Source organism: Homo sapiens, chromosome 10 (genome assembly GCF_000001405.40).
Source record: "Homo sapiens chromosome 10, GRCh38.p14 Primary Assembly".
NCBI classification, from domain to species: domain Eukaryota; kingdom Metazoa; phylum Chordata; class Mammalia; order Primates; family Hominidae; genus Homo; species Homo sapiens.
Genome location: NC_000010.11, coordinates 7,431,370 through 7,454,449, shown reverse-complemented (window position 1 = coordinate 7,454,449; position 23,080 = coordinate 7,431,370). Strand labels below are relative to the sequence as shown.

Below are 23,080 nucleotides of genomic sequence, written 5' to 3'. Positions count from 1 at the left end.
TTGCTTCGAAAGACATGATCTTAATCTTTTTTATGGCTGCATAGTATTCCATGGTGTATATGTTTCACATTTTCTTTTTTTTTTTTTTAACTTTTAAGTTCGGGGTACATGTGCAGGTTTGTTACATTGGCAAACTTGTGCTATGGGAGTTTGTTGTACAGATTATTTCATTAAGTCTAGTACCCATTAGTTATTTTTCCTGATCCTCTCCCTCCTCCAGCCTTCCACTCTCCAATAGGCCTCAATGTCTGTTGTTACCTCTTTGTGTCCACGTATTCTCATCTCTTAGCTCCTGCTTATAAGTCAGAACATGCAGTATTTAATTTTCTGTTCCTGCATTAGTTTGCTAAGGATAATGGCCTCCAGCTACAGCCATGTCCCTGCAAAGGACATGATCTCATTATTCTTTATGGCTGCATAGTGTTCCGTAGTGTGAATTATACCACATTTTCTTTATCCAGTCTATTATTGATGGGCATTTATAATTCATTCATTCATCCATGGACTTAGGTTGATTCCACATCTTTGCTATTGTGAATAGTACTGCGATACACATATGAGAGGAAGTGTCTTTTTGATACAACAATTTGTTTTCCTTTGGGTAGATACCCAGGGGTGAGATTGCCAGGTTGAATGATAATTCTGTTTTCAGTTCTTTGAGAAATCTCCGCACTGTTTTCCACAGAGGTTGTACTAATTTGGATTCCCACCAACAGTGTATGAGTGTTCCCCTTTCTCCGCAGGGAAGGCTTTGTATTCCACTTATTATAAAAGCGGTGATTTCCCAAGCTCAGGCTCAGGGTTCCTCTCCTGTAAGGTGACTGACTTTGTGCGCAGGCATCCACGAGGAGCCGTCTACATCACCACCATAAGACTTGGGGGCACAGGGAACCAGCAACCGTGCAGCTCTGTCTACTGCTTTCGTCGTGATTCACAAAGTCCTTTGTCTCTGACCCAGGAGTTCCAAGTCTTCTGCCAGCCCCTGTGAAACAGCAACAGTGAACTAGATAGCTTGTATGTGACATAAAATCTCAATCTCTGCACAGTTCTTGACAAGGTGACATAGCCAGTAAGTGGTGGGAACTGACTTTGAACCTGGACAGTTTGGCTTAGAAACCCACCATCTTAAACACTACTAATAAGGCATCAAAGATAGGCAACAAACTTCCTGGCAGAGTAAAGGCAGATTTTTAAAGGCAATGGGGTGTTTGGAGGGAATTTTGAAGCATGAATGGGGATTTAACAGAAGAATAAGGGAGAAAGGACATTCTAGGTAGAGGGAGTGAGGTGGACAAAGGCTGGAAGCCAGGAAGCACACAGATGTTCTGGACACTGCACGAAGGGAGTCGTAAGACTGCAGTGCCCAGCAGAATTTTGCTGGCTTCTGGGGTGAGAGATGAGGTTGGAGAGACAGGCAGAGGCCAGAAAATAAGATGGGTGCGTGCGCCCAATTAGTTTGTAGAAAGGCTTTTAAGAATTATATTATAGTCAAGTGGCTGGGTGCAGTGGCTCACACCTGTAATCCCAGCACTTTGGGAGGCTGAGGCAGGTGGATCACTTGAGGTCAGGAGATCAAGACCAGCCTGGTCAACATGGCGAAACCCCATCTCTACTAAAAATACAAAAATTAGCCAGGTATGATGGCAGGCGCCTGTAATCCCAACTACTTGGGAGGCTGAGGCAGGAGAATCGCTCCAACCCAAAAGGCAGAGATGGGTTCAAGCCATTCTACAGCCTGGGCGACAGAGTGAGTCTCTGTTTCATTAAAAACAAACAAACAAAAAATATAGGCAAGAAAGTGACACTATCAGATTTGTGTTTTTGAAAGATCCCTTGGGAATGTTGTGCAAGACGGATTGGAGAAGTCAGGGAGATCAAGTTAGAAGCAAGTGAAGTGATCAAGTAAGATGTAATGAGGGCCTGAACTTTGTAGCATGTACAGTTTAAATGCTGATATTTTAATTTAATGCATAATGATAGCAGTAATTAGCTTGCAATTACTCCAGCCGGAGACGTTGTATTTTTAATTCCCAAATCTTGATCTTTCTACTTTATACAAGAAATAGGAGAAGGTCAACTGAGTAAAGGGATCTTATTTCTTTCAATTTAGACAGGAGAGACGAATGAGGAGAAGCTGGGTCTCTGCCACCCTAAGACTGAAGTAAGCACACATGACACTAAGAAAGAGACTCTATCTTTCTTCATTATGGCAAAGAAGAATGGAAAATGCTCACAGGAATTCCCATCCAAAGCAGAGATTCTCGATCATTTCTGAGCTCAGCCTTCTTGGACAGAGTATCATATCCCATAAGCACACATAAGTTGCTTTTTCTTCTTCTCTCTTTTTTTTTTTTTTGATGGAGTTTCGCTTTTTTGCTTTTGTTGCCCAGGCTGGAGTGCAATGGCGTGATCTCGGCTCACTGCAACCTCCAGCTCCAGGGTTCAAGCGATTCTCCTGCCTCAGCCTCCCGTGTAGCTGGGATTACAGGCATGTGCCACCACATCCGGCTAATTCTTTGTATTTTTAATAGAGACAGGGTTTCTCCATGTTGGTGAGGCTGGTCTTGAACTCCTGACCTCAGGTGATCCGCCCACCTCGGTCTCCCAAAGTGCTGGGATTACAGGCATTCTTCTTCTCCTTTTTAAGGAAAAACTCTACTAACAACAAGAATCATTGTGGACACAAGCTTAGGGGTATTGGCGATGGTGGTGAAGACGGCGACTTTATCCGCTTTGGTAAGGAGATGCAGGTATCTATTCTTGGTTCCCAGTGTTCACAGTCTTTAAGTTTAGTTATTGGAAATTACAGTTCAAAGTATTGTTGGTGAAGATATGCTTCACTACATATGGTAGGCTTAGCAAAACAATCCACAATAAATAAAATTAATGATAATGAAACTAAACAAACTGTGATTTGTTAAAAAGCAATGATACAGCCACTGGAAAACTTAACTTGGGCAGGATGCCCTAAATTGCCTAACATCTATTAACTCTTCCTCCTTCCTAACAGAACCCAGAGTTTATTGAGAAATATATTCTCCTCTATACAACCAAGCCTCTTAGGAGAGGCTAGCCTATCCCTAGCTCCAGGTGGTAGATTCTAGTTTGCCTGAATAATCCAATTCTCCTTGATGGTGATTGGCTTAGGAATGGGCAGGTGACAAAAGCTCTTCTTCTGAACATCGCAGTCTCTAAACATAATGCCTGGAAGTGCCTTATCTATCTTGCAACCTTGAGAGATGCCAGCCTTAGGATAAAGCTGGTGCAGAGAGGAGAAAGGGCCAAGAGGGACCCAGAGAAGCAGAGCTACCGTAACCTTGGACTTAAGTATTGTGTATGTGAAAAGAAGGTTTAAAAGCCAAAGGATGGGTGCCCATCTTTAGACCAGCTCTTGGCAGAGGGTAGAGTCTAAACAACATTTTAAAAAGCATTGCCCTGAGGCCAGGCATGGTGACTCACACCTATAATCCCAGCACTTTGGGAGGCTGAGATGAGTGCATCACCTGAGTTCAGGAGCTCAAGACCAGCCTGGCCAACATGGTGAAACACCATCTCCACTAAAAGTACAAAAATTAGTCAGGTGTGGTGGTGGATGCCTGTTATCCCAGCTACTTGGGAGGCTGAGGCAGAAGAATCACTTGAACCTGGGAGATGGAGGTTGCAGTGAGCCAAGATTGCACCACTGCACTCCAGCCTGAGTGACAGAGTGAAACTGTCTCAAAACAAAAAACAAAAAACAAAAAAAAGCATTGCCTTGAAAATAACTGGTAACACCCCACCCCTGCAGAGTGGCTGGTGGGCAGTGTTTCCTACAGTAAGTATTCCCAGTAATAGATACACTGCTATTTGTTGAACACAAGCTATAGAAAAAACACACTGCTAAATGATGACTACCAGGGGACAGGTTATTATAATTATGGCAATTTAGAAAAGATTCTCATAAACTTACCTTGGCTTAAAATGCAGAAAACAGTGAAAAGCCCTTTACTGTCCTTTTCTCAATTCCTTTATGTTGACTTTCACCCAGGACACCTGTCTACACTCCACGTTAAAAATTTGGACTATCTCATCAAAGCCAACAATCTGTTCTCCTTGAATTTTTACCAACCAGTGAGTGATATTTCATTCTCTCTTTGCATTATCACCAGAGAGAATTTGTGAAAATTTACATAATTTGAATTGAAAGACAGCTAGTCCTCATGTGCAATGAGGAAACAGTTGCCTGGAGGTCTGGGACCCTGGGAAAACATCCAGTGCTCTTTTCCTCTGTTAAACTTTCTTCTTCTCTCTTTTTAATATTAAATGTTTGTGAAATGTCCCAAAATCTTACGTGAGAAGCCATCCTGTCAAAAGGAATTATATTGTCAGTTCTTTCTGGTTGCAAGGCATAGAGACTTTATCTGATTTCAGGTGACGACTTGTCATTTAAAAGAAAAAGAACAGAAAATAGAGGAATCAAGAAAGTATATCAGCAACTAAGCAGCCACTACTCAAGAGAAGAAAGAACAATGGCTTCTTATCAGTCAGAACACAGCACCAGCATTAACGATCCATCAGGAACTCTGGGGACCAGACATCTTTTTGTGCCCTCAGAATTGGACATCTGTCACTCCCTATGTATGACTGCCACACTGTGACTTTGTTTCTTTTATATCTGGTTTGCCCATCTGCTGCCTCTGAAAGATGGTTTCACTATACACTAGTTCCCCCTTATCTGTGGGGGATACATTCCAAGACCCCCAGTGGATGCCTGAAACCACAGATAGTACTGAACCCTACATACATTCTGTTGGTTTTTTTTTTAATCCGGTAACCAAGAGAGCTACTTTGTCACTGGCAGGCAGGTATCATAGACTGTGAATATGCTAGACAAAAGGATGACTCACATCCCAGGCGGGAAGCAGCAGGACAGTGTGGGATTTCATTCTACTACTCAGAACAGCACATAATTTAAAATCTATGTATTGTTTATTTCTGGAATTTTCCATTTTATATTTTCAGACTGCAGTGGTCATGGGTAACTGACACCTTGGAAAGCAAAACCGTGGATAAAGGGAGAATACTGTATATAGAATTCTAGGTTGATAGTGTTTATTTTCTCTTAGCACTTTAAAGTTATCATTTCATTGTCTTCTGACTTGCATCATTTCTGATGGAATGTCAGTCGTCAGTCTCATTATTGACACCACATTCTTTGATTGTTTTTACTCTTTTTTCAAACTCTGACTTAATTGGATAATTTCTATTGACCTGTGTTTAGGTTTGCTAATGCTTTCTTTTGAAAATTCAAACTGCTGTTAATGTCATCCAGTGAATGTTTTATCACAGACATTGCATTTTATCATCCTAGAGTTTCCATTTTGTCTTTTTTTAGAGTTCTCTTTTCTCTTCTGACATACCCCTATCTCTTACCCATTAGATCCACATTTTCCTATAAATTTGTTTAAAATGTGTATGATAATTGCTTAAATATTCTTGCTGCTAGTTCCAATAACTGGGTTTAACTATGGACCTGCTTCTATTGACTATGCGTTCTTTTGGTTATTGGTGAGTATGTCTTGTATCTCTGCATGCCTCAATTTTTTTATTGTATCTAAGATATGCATATAAAAATACAATGAAGATTGAAGTAAATAATGTTTTGATGTTTTTGCCCCAGAGAATACAAGCTCTTTCCCTCTGTCTAACAAGGAGAAGGGCTAATTATTCAGATTCCTTTTAGAGTCAAATTGGCTGAATTTTTAATTAAATTGAGATTTCCTATGCTTAGACCAACCCTCACTCTCATACTACTGCTATCTTTTAGATATTATCAATATTTGAGTAGATGAGCTTCCGTTTTAGCTATTTTTAACTTACTTTGGATTCCCAGTTACATGAGAGGCTGAGGTTGGAGGATCACTTGAGCCCAGGAGGTTGAGGCTACAGTGAGCTGTGATTGTGCCACTGCACTCCAGCCCGGGCAACAGAATGAGACCCTGTCCTCCAAAAAAAAGGTCAAGGACCATGTGATTTTCATAAATAAAAAGAGGAGGTTATTACTATGTTATGGAATAGGACATTTAGCAAAGTTTATTACTCACTGATTTGTATTCATGGCAGACCACATCACATTCCCTTTGAATATTCTTGGAATCCAAGCACTGTGGAAGTACATGGGTCTTTGTAGTTTTGCCCTGCATCTTTGCCCTTTCTTCATGGATACTTTTTTGTCAGTTTGAGGTGGTGGTGGTGATGTGAAAGTGATTGGCCTAATTTGTTTTTGCAGTTGGGATACTCCTATATTGCAATCCATGCATCCAGGCTGCACTATCATGTATAGCTCAGCTGATTTTTTCTCCTCCTTCCAAATTTCTGTCTAGGCCAAACTTGCCATGCCTAGGTCAGAAACTGTTGTTGGAAATGGAAGCTGTCCTGGCTTTCTCTTTGCCAATGAAGGACTCATTTTTCCAAAATTCAGTTCATTAAGTCTTCTTTTGACTCCTGATCTTTGTTAGCCCCATGGGAAAGTATGATTTTTATTTTCTCTGAGTTTTTCTTGACATTACCATGGGAACAAAATGCTTTCATGCTCTTATGAAGTGAAAGTCTGAACCAAACATTTAAACTTAAAAAAAAAAAAAACCCACATAAAATCACTAGAAGAAAATATGGGAGATTTAAAAAAAAATCTTGGGACAAAAAAAGTCATTTCAGAGCAATACACAAACCTCAGAAGCTATAAAAAAATTAATCAACCTCTATCTTTTTCTCCCTTTCTCTCTCTCTGTATATATATGTTATATATATATCTATATATATATTTATCTTAAATTTGGCGAGGCACGGTGACTCATACCTGTAATCCCAGCACTTTGGGAGGCCAAAGTGGGTGGATCACTTGAGGTCAAGAGTTTGAGACCAGCCTGGCCAACATGATAAAAATACAAAAATTAGCTGGGCATGGTGACATACACCTGTAGTCCCAGTTACTCTGGAAGCTGAGGCAGGAGAATCGCTTGAACCAGAAGGTGGAGGTTGCAGTGAGCCGAGATTGTGCCACTGCACTCTAGCCTCGGCAACACAGTGAGACCCCATTTCAAAAATAAATAAATAAATAAATGAATAAAATATATATATATTAAACTTGAATATGGTAAAACATAATAAAGCCATATGACAAACTGAGAAAAAAATTTGCAATGCAAAAGATAAAGATTATCTTATAAAACCTATTAAGAGATTTTTATAAATAATAAAAAACAAATGGACAAAGGCAGGTAGGTAACATAAAAATCATTATATACAGAGTTCCAAGATGAAAAGATGCTCTAACATGCTGACAATTAAGAACTACAAATGGAACTGAGACACGGTTTTTTTACCAATCACCTTGACAAAGTTAGGTGCTAGCAAGGGCATGAGAAACCAACACTCAAGTGCACGGTAGATGAGAGTGTAAATTAGCACAGCATCCTTGCAAGTGTTTGTTTCGTGTTAAGATAGAGTGTTATTTGGTGATATCTAACGAAATTAGAAAATGAATACGCCCTTTGATCCAGCAATTTCAGTTTTAGGAATTTATTCTGCAGATATGCTGAAAATGCGCATAAAGACGTATGTAAAAGCAAAGCCATTGCTGCATTGTTTGCCACAGCAAGAACAGTAACTGAAAATAACTCGAATATCCATAATCGAGGCTGGTTCAAAATGTATAGCACGTCATTCCAGTGGAGTGCTCCAGAACTGGAAGGAAACGAATAGAGCTGTGTGTGCTGATACAGAGAGATTGTCGAGGTGTATCACCAGGCATACAAATCAAGACATAGAATAATGTGATTTCTGTGTCCCCATTTGTATTGTGTGTCCGCAGGGACAGTATCTGGAAGGTACACCAGGAACTGCTGAGGAGTGGAACTAGGACTCTGAGACAAAAGGGGTTTGCTTTTCATTTTAAACTGTATTATTATTTGAATTTTTTAAAAATCAAGGACTGTTCAGGTGCAATGGCTCATGCCTGTAATCTTAGCACTTTGGGAGGCTGAGGTGGGTGGATCACTTGAGCCCAGGAGTTTGAGACCAGCCTGGACAACATGGTAAGACCCTGTCTCTACAAGACAAAAAAAAAAAAAAATGCCGAGCGTGATGGTGTGTACGTGTGGTCACATTTACTCAAGAGGCTGAGATGGGAGGATCACTTGAGCCCAGGAGGTTGAGGCTACAGTGAACTGGGATTGTGCCACTGCACTCCAGCCTGGATGAGAGAGTGAGACTCTGTCCTCCAAAAAGAAGTCAAGGACCATGTGATTTTCCTAAATAGAGGGAGTAGGTTATCACTACGTTACGGAATAGGACATTTAGCAATGTTTATTACTTACTGACTTATATTCATGGCAGACCACATCACATTCTTTTTGAATATTCATATTGAGCCTGTTATGAAGCATTTCACATAGGAAAAGCAATGTGTGAATCAATGAGGAAATGAAACTATGTATTTATTGACGGTATTTGTGAGATATGCAAGTGTGCAGAGTCTTCTGATAACCTCAGAATGCTGATACATTTAGCAAACCTCATTCTTAAAGTTGGCCAGATAATGACTTATTTTGCTGAAGTCTCCAAAAAAGCTGAGTTGTGAAGCCTTTGAAAAAGTATCAATGAACTTTTTCTTTCAGGTGGGGCTGAGCTGTTGTTCTAGAAGAAAAAAGGATGTCTTGTCCTGTGTGAACTGGAACAGCGCTTAGAAATCGAGGAGCGTGGCCCTGGGAACAGAGGCTGTGTGCTGTTGTTTTTGCTTCCTCATTAATGAGCATGGGCCTTCAGTGAGCTCCTTTCCCTTGCTGGCCTTCATTTGTAAAATGTTGGCTGACGGCTAAGGGTGTTTATTCCTCTAAAATCACCTAATTAGAAGAGAAGAAAGGAAAATACAAAACAAAATTAAATATAAGCAGCATGTTCCACATTTTAGACTTACTTAGATTCTTATCTCTCTGCAATAATCCTAATGCTAATTCACTTTCTCAGAGGTGTCCAGCGCAGGATGGGCTTAGATCATCCGTGGAATTGCTTGTTCTATAAGCTTTAGTTACTTTGATGACTGGAAGTATGTAAGTTCAGAGACATGCATTAAATACATGTTTCTGGTTTTCCCCAAATGACCCATGGACAGATAGGTGCCTGTATTTATTTTGTGTCAAATTTCATCTTATTCATTTAGTTGGAGACATAGTTATCTGATGGGTTCTCTGGGGTAATCATTTAGAACTCCTGAACTTTAGCAAGAAGCTGTAAGAAAGTCCAAGTTCTTTTTCTTAAAACTTCAAATAAGGTTCCCCAGTGAGTCTGGGGAAGGCCATGACATTGTCAGAAAAGCTGTTCCGTATCTGTGCCTCCGAGGTTCCTGCACGGCACTGCTGAATGGCCAATTTGCTGCGAATACGCATCGATCGTCTGATGCACGGCGCTCTGCACTGAGGACACCGTGAAGATGAACCGTGGTTCATTCCAGGGGTTAGCTGAGTTCTGAAACTGGAAAGTGAACGACCATTTATCAGTAGGTGAAACAGAACTGTGCTGGAACACAGCCAGCGGGAGTTCAATTAGGCAGAAACAAATCGGGGGGAAAGGAAGGGATGGCGTTCTGCATGGGGCTCAGGCACCATCTCCTTAGAAACGGCTGCTGCAAAGCCGCCGCAATAAATGCTCTGCTGAGTCTGTCCACAGCCCCACCCGGTAGAGAGGCCACTAAGGGACAAAGCCAGGAAACTCTGGCAGCTTTCTCTGCCACAGAAAGTGAACTGGTAGCAGCAAAGCTGGTTTAAATACATCTTAGAACAGAAATAGGGAAGCTAGCTTCTTGGGGAGCTGTTCTGTGTTCTTGGCTTGTTTGTGTGTTTGGCAAGAAATACAATGGAAAAAGCCTCTCCTATCAAACACAAAGGATGCTTTCATTAAGTCATCCTTCCTTTTCATTGGATCAAATGGTTTTCAAAAATGGGATTTCTGATTCAATTAAATGATGTGGGGAAAACTTGGGAGCTTCCAATTAAGCTTATTTTCCTCTCCTTTAAAATTCCCTCCCCCCATTTTTCTGGATGTTTTATAATGTATCTACTATATTCATACAATAGTGCATGGTCATTCTCTTTAAATAAATAATTATGAATTTAATGGGGAGTTTAGGCTTGATTATTTTTATTTTATTATTTTTTTACAGGTAGAGATATGAGGCAATAAAAATTTTTGGTGTGGTGGCTCGGGCCTGTAATCCCAGCACATTGGGAGGCTAAAGCAGGAGGATTGCTTGAGGCCAGAAGTTTGAGATCAATCTATGCAACATAGGAAGACCCCTGTCTTTACAAAAAAAAAACAAAAACAAAAATTAAAGCACTAGGTCGGGTGTGGTGGCTCATGCCTGTAATCCCAGTACTTTGGGAGGCTAAGGCAGGTGGATCACCCAAGGTCGGAGTTCGTGAACCCCCTGACCAACATGGAGTAACCCTGTCTCTACTGAAAATACAAAATTAGCCAGGTGTGATGGTGCATGCCTGTAATCCCAGCTACTCGGGAGGCTGAGGCAGGAGAATCACTTGAACCTGGGAGGCAGAGGGTGCAGTGAGCCAAGATCACACCATTGCACTCCAGCCTGGGCAACAAGAGCAAAACGCCATCTCAAAAAAAAAAAAAAAAAAATTGAAACATTAGCCAGGCAGGGTGATACGTGCCTGTAGTTTCAGCTGCTTGGGAGGCTGAGGTAGGTGGATCACTTGAGCCCAGGAGTTTAAGGCTGCAGTGGGTTATGATCATCCCACCACACTTCAGCCTTGGGTGACAGGAAAAGACCCTGTCTCCAAAACAAAACAAAAAAAAATCGGAGACCACTACTTTAGAATTTAGAATCAGAAACATGCTTCTGCCACTTGCTCCTTCCTACTTAAGAAGTGGCATTCAGAGGCTAGGAGGCTCTGGATACTGGGATAACTGGAGCACTGTGATAATCCAGACAAAAGTTATGGTGTGTTTTGATAGAAAAATACAAAAATAAGAGTTCAAGGGGAATAAAAAGAAAGATTCAGTGTAAGTTATGAATATAAGCATGTAAAGTAAGAATAGGAATTAAAACAGTTTTACATTTCAGGTTATGTAACTATTTACTCAGAAAATGTTTTTTTAAAATTACCCATTTTCCAGTAGAAAACACTGGTATATGACATCCCTCAACAGTCCACCCCTGCTTCCAGTTTCCTTTATGAAATAGAACTTACTGTGATGAAAAGTGATGATTAACATAAGTGGTTACAACTATACTAGGAATAATAGTGACAGAGAAATACAAACTGTAATTGCTTTTGTTTTTCAAGGAAAAAGAGTCATTTTTCAGTGATTTTCAAGCATTTTGGTTTGTGTCACCTTTAAATTCATAAAACATTATTGACAATCCTAGCGTTTTTCTTGTATGTGTGTTGATATTTACCATATTAAAAATTAAGACCAAGATTTCAAAATGACCCATTTTATGGGGTGGGGAGGTCCCCACATCTTGGATTCCAATTCCTACCTCTGCAGAGAACTGCAGAGTGGCTGAGTGCATGGCACATTCAGCTTGCAAATGGCTTGCCTAACCCATCGGGTGCGCCTCGGCCTCCAGTTCATCTCCCTTTCCGGTCGTTTGACTTGTTTGTTGAACAGGGTATTTTTATACTGAATTCTCCCTCGGACTCTGTAGGGAAAATCAATCATGGATTGTGTGGCCGTGGAACATACACGGCCCGTGGATGAGCTGGCTCATGGCTCGTCACAGAGTCAGCTGTCTACACGGCGTGATTGAAGCTTTACGTGGGAGTGCACTCGGACCCCAGGTATTTCCTCCTTTTGTGTGTCATGGCACCCAGCTCCTCTCCAGCCTGCTGTTTCCTGTGCTGACTTACCAAGTCTGAATCTCAGGCTGGGTTCCCTCAATGAGGTGTGCTCCTCTGTGACCTCCCCACTCCCTATAGCCGCTCCACCTTCCTCTCTCAAATTCAAGGGCTGCCCAAGCTGCAAGCTCATTGAGCAGTTCCAGAAAAGCTTAAATGGGAAGAACAATGACAGGGAGGCAAAACACCTGCTTGCAACTCAAACATGTGTTTCCTTTAGAGCATCTGAATACATGGAGCTCTGGTCACTGCCTGGGCCTGGAGACGGGGCAGGGAATCAGACGGGGAATACAGTAACAAACTCGAGTCACTGTGCATTTGAAGCAAGGCGTTGATTCAACACGCCAAGATGACGGGTGGTCCCCAGATCCTGGATCCAGAGGCACTAACCACGCCTACTATACAGTGAGATACAAAGAAGTGTCCTGCATGCTCCCTTGGCCATCGGGGCCAGACCAAGTGTTTGGATTTTGTGCTGCTGATTCTGAAACTCCACCTCCAATCCTCGAGAAGTCTCCCTGCAGGTCTACTGTTTGGCTATGATCGATGGTCCCCAGGTGTGGTGTTATTTCATTTCCAGTTTATCACGTTAATATTTTACACATTATGGGGAATCCTGGAATGAGTGCTGTTCTACGCACACAGGAAAGCCACAGTTAATCTGTAGAAGGTGTTCCAGCAGCTTATGGAGCTTTGGTTTCTAAAAGACTAAAGTGCTCAGTGGACTGCAGATACCTGAAACAATGAGGATTTTTTTTCTTGTGTTTTGATTTTTGCTTTCAGGTGGGAACCCATTTTTCAAAAGGACTAATTTGAGTTGTGGTTGGATGCAAACCTTGGCTGGAATCTCCCCCACTGATCCTGTCGTTCTCTTGTGATTGCTAACAGTTCCACGCGGCACAAATAAGCCAAGGATATTGCAGGCGCGATCTGAAAGCCGGAGCAACATGGGAAGAGCAAAAAGGTCATTTTTCTTCCCTGCCACCCCCTCCATTTTCCCTGGATGCTCCTGTGGACTGAAAGCATAAATTGCACTGCTCAGCCCCTGATGGATCACTGCACAGCTGGGGCTGGGAGGCTGGAGGGAGGGTCCCCATAATCTCCTTTTCCCAGGCTCTGTTCCAATTTCATCTTCGTCCCATTTTACAAACTCTTCCCTTTCTTCCTAATCAGAGTTTCGTCTGGAATGGGTGCCGGTGCTTTTCCACTGCAAAAGCAACCCAGGCAATTTGCTTTAGAGGTTGGAGCCAAGGTCTGAGGAATTGAGACAAGAAAACATCCCAGGGTAGTGTGGAAGTGCAGCCTTCTCTATTCCCAGCCTGTTGCAGACAGCCGTGCCATCTCCTACACCCACAGGTGATTTTTTGTTTTGTTTTTGTTTTTTGTTTTCTGTTTTTGAGACAGATTCTAGCTCTGTCACCCAGGCTGGAGTGCAGGGGCGCCGTCTCTGCTCACTGCAACCTCCTCCTCCTGGGTTCAAGTGATTCTTCTGCTTCAGCCTCCCGAGTAGCTGGGATTACAGGTGTGCACCACCATGCCTGGCTAATTTTTGTATTTTTAGTAGAGACGGGGTTTCACCAAGTTGGCCAGGCTGGTCTGGAACTCCTGACCTCAGGTGATCCGCCCACCTCAGCCTCCCAAAGTGCTGGGATTCCAGGCGTGAGCCACCTTGCCTGGGCAGAGGTGTGTTCATTGTTGTTGTTGCTTCTATCAGGTGGCGAACGCCAGGCATTACCATGACTTGGGCAGTACACCTCACTCTGAGCGACAGTGCCCTGGAAAGAACATGAGCCTCTAGAGTCCATTGAACTCAGCTTTGAGTTCCAGGTTCTGTCACTTATTAGTGGACAAGTCATTAGGCTTCCCTAAGTCTTCCATTTCTGATTCTTAAAATGAGGATAAAAGGACCCACCTCGCAGGGTTGCTGGAAGGGTTGTGTTAAGGGTGCCAGGCATATACTAGGTTTCCAAACAATGAGCTAGTCCTATGTCCAGACTCTTAAACTATGATGGGTTAAAAATAGTAAATCATATTTTTTTTCATTAAAAACAATTTTTTTTTAGAGATAGGGTCACCCAGGCTGGAGTGCAGTGGTGTGATCATGGCTCATTGCAGCCTCGTACACAAGCAATCCTCCCACCTCAGCCTCCCAAGTAGCTGGGACTACAGGCATGTGCCACCATGCCAGGCTTAATTTGTTTTATTTTTATTTCTTGTACATTTGGGGTCTCACTGTGTTGCTCAGGCTGGTCTAGAACTCCTGGCCTCAAGCTATCCTACCACCTCGGCCTCCCAAAGTGCTGAGACTATAGGGGTGAACCACTGTGCCCAGCCTGAAAGAATGTTTTTGATGAAATGTATGATTGAAAGATTGACTTCGACCCTCCCTAGTCTTTAAATGTCTTTGTGCAGTATTTTACTGTGTTTAGGTTCTGCACACATTTTAGAACCTGAAAATTCCTATGCAATTATCTAACCTTCCTGTATGCAGGAGGAAACTGAGGCATGGGATGCTTCAGGGTCGGCCGTGTCTCTGCCCACTGGCCTTGCCCCCTGCTATCTATTCTGCCTTCTGCCTCTGCTCTCCCCAGCACTCACACTGCTGGCCGTGTATCACTCGACCCAGGGACTCCACGTTCTAACTGCTGCAAATTAGTAACCCACAGAATGCCACACCTAAGTATATCAATGTGCTCCATGTGTAATTACTAAGAATGTCTCATTTTCTGACCAGGTTAGAGAAGAGGGTCACCGCTATTTTGTTTTGTTTCCTTACGGCTGTAGTAGTGTGCTACTCCTGCCTTGGCCTCCCAAAGCTCTGGAATGACAGACTTGAGGCACTGTGCCCAGTCAGATTTTTTCTTTTAGTTGGAGGGCAAATGAGAAGGAGAAACTGCAAGGCTGGGGGCGGTGGCTCACACCTGTAACCCCAACACTTTGGGAGTCTGAGGCAGGAGGATCACTTCAGCCCAGGAGTTCAAGACCAACCTGGGCAACAGTTCTACAAAAAGTTTAAAGATGAGCCGAGTGTGGTGGCGTGCACCTGTAGTCCCAGCTGCTTGGTGAGGGGCTGAGGAGGGAGAATCACTTGAGCCCAGGAAGCTGAGGCTGCCGTGAGATGAGATTGCACCACTACACTCCAGCCTAGGTGACAGAGCAAGATCCTGTCTCAAAATAAGAAATAAAAATAAAGAAAAGGAAGAGGAGCTGATACACTGTTGGGTTAATAATTCCAGGGCTTAGACAAGGCTAGTTTGAGTATTTGATGAATAGATCTCCCCATCGGCAGAATCCTCGATATCTAAGAAGCGCCCCATGTTTTGTGAACATGGTCCTTCCTGGGGCTCCTGTGTTTGCCCAGTGGAGAGACAAAGGTCCACATATGACAAATTAACAAATAAAATTCAAACTTCCTTGGCTACTGTGATAGCCCTTGCCAACGTTTCAAGCCACAAAATGAGAAACACACACACACACACACACACACACACACCCCTTGCCAAGGCTTATAAAAACTGTGCAGTAGTTACATAAAGTTTCCAAGCAAGAAGTTACTTCATAAACCAAATTATTTGTGAGGCTTAAAAAAAAAACAACGAGAAAATATGTTTCTTGCTTGAACCAATTCCCATGTTAAACGTCTGCCTTCATCACTCATTTTTATTACCAGTCTAAACACAGACTGTTTCAATGGAGGCCATTTACAGCATACAATAAAACGGATTCATTACTCATTTTCCTCTTATTATCTTTCAATTGCTGTAGCTCTCAGCACTGCATACAGTGGACATTAGGTCCAAGTAGACAGTGCATTACACGATCTCAATTGATGGCAATCCCTAACACCCTTAAACACACAGACACGGGAGACGCTCTGTCCCTGATCCGTTCCCTTGCGCCGCTTTTTATCACACTCATTCTATTTTCGTCTCATTAAACTTCCTATTTTTCACAGGAAGTTCTCCCTCTCCTAGTCGATACCACGTCTCCCTCTCAGTCTGCACCCATCCCAGGCCCCATGCAGTTTGCTTAAGCCATTTCTTCTTAAAAAAAATGCACACACAAACACCCACCACATTACTCACGTAATTAAGTATAATTTCTCTAGCAACAAGCTGACAACAGCTATTAAAAGTGGAGTTGGAGATTGAATCTTGGCGCGGCCTGCAAGTGATAGTGTTCTGGATGACAGGCAATGGTTATGTCATGATCCGAACAGAGATAAGAGCCCCAAACGATGTGCTGGCTTTTATTGCATGGATTAGTACCTTCTCCCCAAACCACCTCCACCTTCCTCTGGGCTGATTCCGCTACATTCATCCGGGTGCTATTTTGATACTTCAATGTAGCTTGCTAAAATTGGAATTAATTAGCTGGGCTTGGAAGCGCAGGCCCATAATCCCAGCTACTCAGGAGGCTGAGGCAGAAGAATCACTTGAACCTGGGAGGCAGAGTTTGCAGTGAGCAGAGATCACACCACTGCATGCCAGCCGGGGTGACAGGGCAAGACTCGGTCTCAAAAAAATAATAATAATAATTTAAAATTGGAATTAATGAGGTTCAGAAAAATAGGGTCTGGAAAAAAAAGCCCAGTGGCTTTGGTAATTCGAGTTAATGCCCCTTTACTTATAGATAAAAATATTTGTTTTTATTGATAATAAACATATGGCAGCTTTCTCGATGAAGCTCTAAGTCATTTATAATCTCATGGTTCCTGTGGGCTTATTCCTGATCTAGTTAACTAAAACATAGGAGTCTTACACAAACCTGGGTTGGATTTGAATTCTCATCTACCACTCAGCATCTATGGGACCCTGAATAAGTCCTGCCACCTCTCTGTGCTTCTTTTCCCGGTCGGTCAAATGAGTATAATGATACCCCGTCTTTCAGGTTGTTGAGAGGAACAAAAAAAGATAATGTCCATAAAACACATACTTCAGTGCCCAGACTTTATTAGGTGCTTCATAAATATTAGCTATTGTGTCTGTTCACACTAGTTATTAGGTGGCTATGATGTGACAAGAGCTTTCATGTGGTGTCTTTGTGAATTCTCACAATACTGTATGGTTGGGATTATTATCCCCATGTTCCAAATGGGAAAACTCTTTAAGAAGTAAGTTTCTAGTATGTGTCCGCTGCAGATCTGTCCCGTCTCCAATGCCTTGGATCTTCTCAACGCAGTACTGTGCATGCAGGAACCCGAACCTTGGGTTTGGAAGGCATTGAAGTCTATGCTGTAAATAGCTGGTCCTACCCCAAGTTTTGGTCTGTGGTGGCCACGTCCAGGCATTCCTGAGCCACCTCCCAGTCAATGGTGGAGCAGGACTGTCCCAGAGATAGTCTGGAGCAATGGAAGGGGCTCATCCAAGTGGGAACTATGTATTAATGGTTAAAGCAATAGGAGACTTGGTGCAAGCTTCCAAGGGAAGTACTCTGAGGTCTTGGGTGATTTATAATATTGGGGGAGGCAGGGGAGGCATTAACAGCAGAAGGCACATACAATGACATTGATATAAATGATTGCATGTCAGAGAAAAAATACTGTCAGGGTCACCTTCAGTCATGCCACTTAATTCTGCTTTTTCATGATAGAAACTGAGCTTCAGAAAATGTGGCAGGGATTTAAAATGATTGAAACAGTCATTTCCTTAAAAGGTGGCTTCCTGTGTCAAAAATTAACCTAGCTTTGATTTCCACCCTTGAATAAATCTTTACAGATAAGACCACTCTCAAAAATTCAAAATGTGCACAAATGAACAGCGAGTCATTTTGAGTGGAAGGGACATCTGGCAGCATTTGGATTTAGAGCATCCCTCTAGAAATATCAGTGACTTAATGACTCATCATTTGAAAGCAATGCAGTTGGGTCAGATGGAGTTTTAGCAGCTTGTGTCAGCAACTGATCCTATTTTATAGGAAGTGGAAAGGGGAAAAAAGAGGAAGAAAAAGTGGAAGAAAGAGTTGGGAGAGTCTACTATAAAAATCCAGGCTACATTCCTTTGCGTTATCAAATTCTGTAGTCTGCCTTGCCTACCAACATCGCCTTAAGCTACTGCACTAGTCCTAGCAATAGCAAAACTTGTTCTGCCCTTGTTTCTCTCCCTTTTTTTTTTTTTTTTTGAGATGGAGTCTCGCTTTGTTGCCCAGGTTTGAGTGCAGTAGTGTGATCTTGGCTCACCGCAACTTCCGCCTCCTGGGTTCAAGTGATTCTCCTGCCTCAGCCTCCTGAGTAGCTGAGATTACAGACACACACCACCATGTCCAGCCAATTTTTGTATTTTTAGTAGAGAGGGGGTTTCACCATGTTGGTCAGGCTGGTCTTGAACTACTGACCTCGTGATCTGCCCGCCTCGGCCTCCCAAAGTGCCAGGATTACAGGCTTCAGCCACCGCGCCAGGCTATTTCTCTTCTTAGGCTCATCTTTCGGAGCATGTCTTACTGCATGGATTTGACATATGTGTTTGTCTTCTCAGCTATACAATGAACTCTTCTCAGATTGCTCCACTCATCCTTCTTTCATCTCAAACTCCATCTTGATATCACCTGCTGCCCTCCCCCACCCCCCTCCATCTGGTCCACCCTGTCTCCTCAGTGGGAGCTGCCCTGCAAGGCCCACTGCTGCTTGCCCGTTCTCAGCCTCCAGAATGACCAAGATGACACCTCTACAGCTCAGCAGGGAAAGTGAAACTCAGAGGCAAAAATGAAAAAAAAAAAGAAAGAAAGAAAGAAAGAAAGTTGCCAAGGCCACATAGCTAGTTTTGGAGCCAGAATGCAAATCTTGAATTCATGTGTTCGGATTAGTTAGCTAGCTAATTAACATATAAATAAAAGCCTTTCTGATTCCAAAACTCATGCTTTTAAAATTATATCCCACAGAGCACAGAAAACATATACTAGTTGAATCCTCCCATGGTAATTCTAACCGAAGGTTTCCTCCTCCAACTCTTCCTCTAGGCTTAGGGCCATGGTAGGTGCCAACAGAAGTAGCTGATGAGAATGTGATTGCAATTAGTGGTGGCTATTATGAGTTCCAGTTTAACGGAGAAAACACTTCTATTGGCAAATATATAATGGATTGAAATATACCAACAATAAAGAATAGGGAAGAGGGCTGGGTGCAGTGGCTCATGGCTGTAATCTCAACACTTTGGGAGGCTGAGACAGGCAGATCATCTGAGGTCAGATGCTCAAGACCAGCCTGGCCAACGTGGCAAAACCCTGTCTCTACTAAAAATAGAAAAATTACCCGGGCATGGTGGCACACACCTGTAATCCCAACTACTTGGAAGGCTAAGGTGCAAGAATGGCTTGAACCCAGGAGATGGAGGTTGCAATTAGCCGAGATCATGCCACTGCATTCCAGCCTGGGCAACAGAACAAGAACCTGTCTCAAAAAAAAAAAAAAAAAAAAAAAATAGGTCTGACTTTCAATTTTCCTTAAATCAAAAATCTATGAAGTTGAATATCTAACAAGAAACAATGTTAATCCCTTTATCCATTATTCTTATTTCCCCAACTCGAAAACCCATATTTTCATTTTCAAGTTCAATGGAGGCCCTCACATTGAGCCAATTCCCTTGATCCTTTGATTCAACCAGCCATTCTCTCTGAAGAATGGGAGGTGCCAGGGTGGTATCAGTACAGTCACTAAATATTAGATGTTCTGCACAGAGTGTTATAGGACTGGTATGGTTCGGGGAGGATTGTTCGTCAGGCTGGCTCCTGCCTTTTTTGGGTATCCTGTTTGTTACTTAGCCTTTTCTCTTACCCACTCCTCAGTGCCAGCCTTCCTACCTGGGTTCCCCAGGAGTGGAGCATGCGGGTAGGAGAGTGCCAGTCTGCATTCACAAAGAAGAGGGCTTTGCCAACCTGAAGACACCAGCTCATCTGATGGTGCCTTTTCCTAGCTGTGTGGCCTTAAGTGAATTACTAAACCTCACTCACTCTTTGTGTCTTCAACTGTAAAAATGCCGATAATAACTACCTCCCACGGTTTGGGGGGGAATTCAATAAAAGAGTGCTTGTAAAAACTCCTGGCTTTCACAAACAGACAAGGAAAATGTAGTAGATTTTTAACACATTTGCTTCCTACTTTCTTTCTTTCAAAGTCCAACATAGCAAGAGATGCAAATGTTTTCTAATCCCAAAATGAAAACGTATGTTAGAGGTCGGGTGCGGTGGCTCACGCCTGTAATCCCAGCACCTTAGGAGGCTGAGGCGGGCGGATCACTTGGGGTCAGGGGTTCGAGATCAGCCTGGCCAACATGGCAAAACCCCATCTCTACTACAAATACAAAAATTATTTGGGCGTGGTGGCGGGTGCCTGTAATCCCAGCTACCCGGGAGGCTGAGGTAGAAGAATCGCTTGAACCCTGGGAGATGGAGGTTGCAGTGAGCTCCAGCCTGGGCAACAGAGTGAGACTCAGTCTCAAAAAAAAAAAAAAAAAAAAAAAGGAAAAAAAAGAAAAGAAAACACATGCTCACACAGCGGCATGCAGATATAATCTCATGTCCTGGCTAGCCCAGTATCTTTTAATAATATATTTTATGCCTAACTCAGCAAGGGAGACTTGGAGAGTGAATCAATTTCTCTTTATGATACCTTACCAAAGGAGTCTGTTGAAAATAGGTTAATAGATTTTCCCGAGTGTAACCAGAATGTGGAAACAAAACCGGACTGTTACGAAGAAAAATGAAGATTAAAAACAGCCAGATTCCTACCTGCCTTCAGGATTTCAAACTTTATTAACCAAACCGTTTTCTTAATTGCATACCTCGTTAGAGAACTGTAGGAGTTATTTATAAAACACTTAGGTCTGTTTTTTAATATGGCGTGGATACGTCTGCAACATGCCTATCTGTGTGCACGTTTTCACGGGATCTGCTGGTCACTTCAACAAGGAAGGCGTTTGTTCTCTTCTTTTCAAATGCAAATATCTGCAGCGGCTTCTCATGTGCTTCCCTCGTGGAGCACGGCTGCTCTCTCTTTGTTTATGCTAATGTAATAAACTGTCCCTAGGGAGTTCTGGCTAAACATAATATTAAATAGTCAGCAACATAATCAATTATTTTACCAGCAGGAATGGCTTGTTTACTTAATCTCTCTTTTAAAAACAGTCATTTCGAAAAAGGCATTTAATACCTTACTTATTTTGACAGCGTCAGGAAACTCCATTGTTAAACAGAAGCATGTTAAATCAAACAGACCTACATACAAGATACGTCAGCTGGATTGACTTTTACAGCATAAAGCTGTAAAAACATTTTATAGGAGGGAAAACCATAGAACAGCCCTGGAAGCGACACTGTGTGGACAAAAGCTCAACCCAGATGAATCAAAGACAGAATCGGACATTAAATACCCAATTTCATTTTAATGCACTATTTTTATAGGACAGGAGTACTTGGAAATGAAACGCTAATGATGGGAAAGAGTATTAAGAATTAATGAATATAGGGAAAAGATGAAAAGCCAGAGATTCTGAATCAGTAAATGTATCGGTTGATTGATTTTGACAGGTGCCGTTTAGTTTTAATGATTTCAAATAACACTTCGTAGTAGGATACTAAAAATCCTGCTGTGTGAGGATGTGTGCATGGTAATAAATCTTGGCAATATGAGTTTCACTATAAATCGTAGGGGCCACATCTTCCTTAAGAGTAAGTCGTTCTTCAGATTTGTAGATCAGCGAACTGAAACTACAGAGGTCTCTCAACTCCTTGATTTAATTTCTTGATCATCATTATTTAGCTCGCATTTAGAATACAATTTCTTTCTGAAGAGAGCACTGAGGACTTTATCTTCTGGATAATATTTCAACCTCTGGTCCCATTTTTTTTAATGTGACTTCGATATGTCAGTTAGCTTTTTGCCTCAGTTTCCCAAGGATGCAAAATAGGGAGAAGAATTTCCTGGTGAAAGAAATAATTAACATATGCAAAGAACTTTACGATCTCCTTATGCAAGAACTCTTCATGAGGGAAAATGTTATGCGTTATGCTGTATGAGATAAAAGAGAAATGATTGAAGATTTCAAACACTGTGGAAGTTATTGAAGAATACAAAAAACATGCCAGAGGGAGATAATTATCTTCAGAAAGACATATATCACCAGACAGGCTATAATACAGTGATGGAAGAAAGATTAAAAGGGAATTCGATGAAGCCTTCGGGGATTTGGGTCCCATGTCATCAGCAAGACTCCTGGGGGACTTCTACTGTAAAACTCTAAATCAAATGTGATCCAGAAGAGTGAATAAAATATCAGTAAATCGAAATCTAAAACGTGAGGCTAGCCAGGTGCGGTGGCTCACACCTGTAATTCCAGCACTTTGGGAGCGATCCAGGCATGCGGATCGCTTGAGCTCAGAAGTTCAAGACCAGCCTGGACAACATGGTGAAACACTGTCTCAACAACAAAAAAATACAAAATAGCCAGGTGTGGGGGCGAATGCCCGTGGTCCCAGCTACTTAGGAGGCTGAGGCGGGAGGATCCCTTGAGCCTGGGAGGTTGAGGCTGCAGTGAGCCATGATTGTGTCACTGCACACTAGCCTGGGAGACAGAACAAGACCCTGTCTCTATAAAAAATAAATAAAAATAAATTTAAAGCATAAAATGTAAAGCCTCTAGCCATCTCCCCAAACCTTTTCATGGCTTCTGTTTTCTTTGGGCCTCTAATGCCTCTTCTATGTGCCATAATTGGTACTTAATTATTGACTCAGACACCTTTTCCCATCCTTCCTTACAGATTCGAATGGCCAGACAATTGAGGAAGGTACGTCGAATTCCTCTCTCCATCACTCTGTCCCTCTTTGGTAATAGATAGAAGTTCTATCTTTTCACTTTACTTAGTGTGTGGGAACCACTCTTGCTCACAAGATGACTTGGTGTTTCATAAATATACAACCCACTCTATGCAGAAAGCATCACACTTTCATCGAGTATTGGGCAGTATAATGTTTCATGTTGTTGAGAAATAACAGAAGCCAAAAGGTTCTTTCTGAAGAGGACCCCGAGAGCTCTGCTCCTGGGTGCGAATTCCAGCTCTATGGCTCCTTCCCCAGATGGCGTCAACAGATCCTCTTACGTAGACTTGCACAGCGACCCACTTGGGAGGCTCGTGTTTGAGTGGATCCGTGTGGTCCAGGAAATGCCTCAGGCTTTCCACTTTTTTCCAGTAAT

General features: G+C 42.4%; 2 long non-coding RNA genes across 5 annotated transcripts in view, besides 3 other annotated features; both read left to right on the top strand.

Moving 5' to 3' along the window:
* LINC02642 (long intergenic non-protein coding RNA 2642) overlaps positions 1 to 10,158 on the top strand; it is a 28,558-nt gene extending 18,400 nt beyond the window's left edge. For 3 of the 4 annotated variants that reach the window (NR_184109.1, NR_184123.1, NR_184122.1), the window contains one exon: positions 8,658 to 10,158. This is a non-coding gene — a long non-coding RNA (long intergenic non-protein coding RNA 2642). Of the gene's footprint in view, positions 1 to 7,852 lie in introns of all 4 variants that reach the window. The other variant, NR_184124.1, reaches the window with a different exon arrangement.
* Positions 7,086 to 7,585: an enhancer, noted in NCBI's record as "H3K4me1 hESC enhancer chr10:7488827-7489326 (GRCh37/hg19 assembly coordinates)". NCBI's record gives its function as "activates a minimal SCP1, AML or CMV promoter by ChIP-STARR-seq in naive H9 embryonic stem cells {active_cell/tissue: H9 hESC(naive)}" and the evidence as "EXISTENCE:reporter gene assay evidence [ECO:0000049][PMID:30033119]".
* Positions 8,642 to 8,848: a silencer, noted in NCBI's record as "fragment chr10:7487564-7487770 (GRCh37/hg19 assembly coordinates)". NCBI's record gives its function as "represses an EF-1alpha promoter that drives an FKBP-Casp9 reporter gene in an ReSE screen in K562 erythroleukemia cells {active_cell/tissue: K562}" and the evidence as "EXISTENCE:reporter gene assay evidence [ECO:0000049][PMID:32094911]".
* Positions 8,670 to 8,769: an enhancer, noted in NCBI's record as "active region_2976". NCBI's record gives its function as "activates an Ori minimal core promoter by ATAC-STARR-seq in GM12878 lymphoblastoid cells {active_cell/tissue: GM12878}" and the evidence as "EXISTENCE:reporter gene assay evidence [ECO:0000049][PMID:35858748]".
* An 859-nt stretch (positions 10,159 to 11,017) lies between the features above and the next one.
* On the top strand, positions 11,018 to 13,956 carry LOC124902373 (uncharacterized). The gene is made up of 2 exons (XR_007062050.1): positions 11,018 to 12,861; positions 13,071 to 13,956. It is a non-coding gene; the product is annotated as an uncharacterized LOC124902373 (long non-coding RNA).
* The last annotated feature ends 9,124 nt before the right edge of the window (positions 13,957 to 23,080 follow it).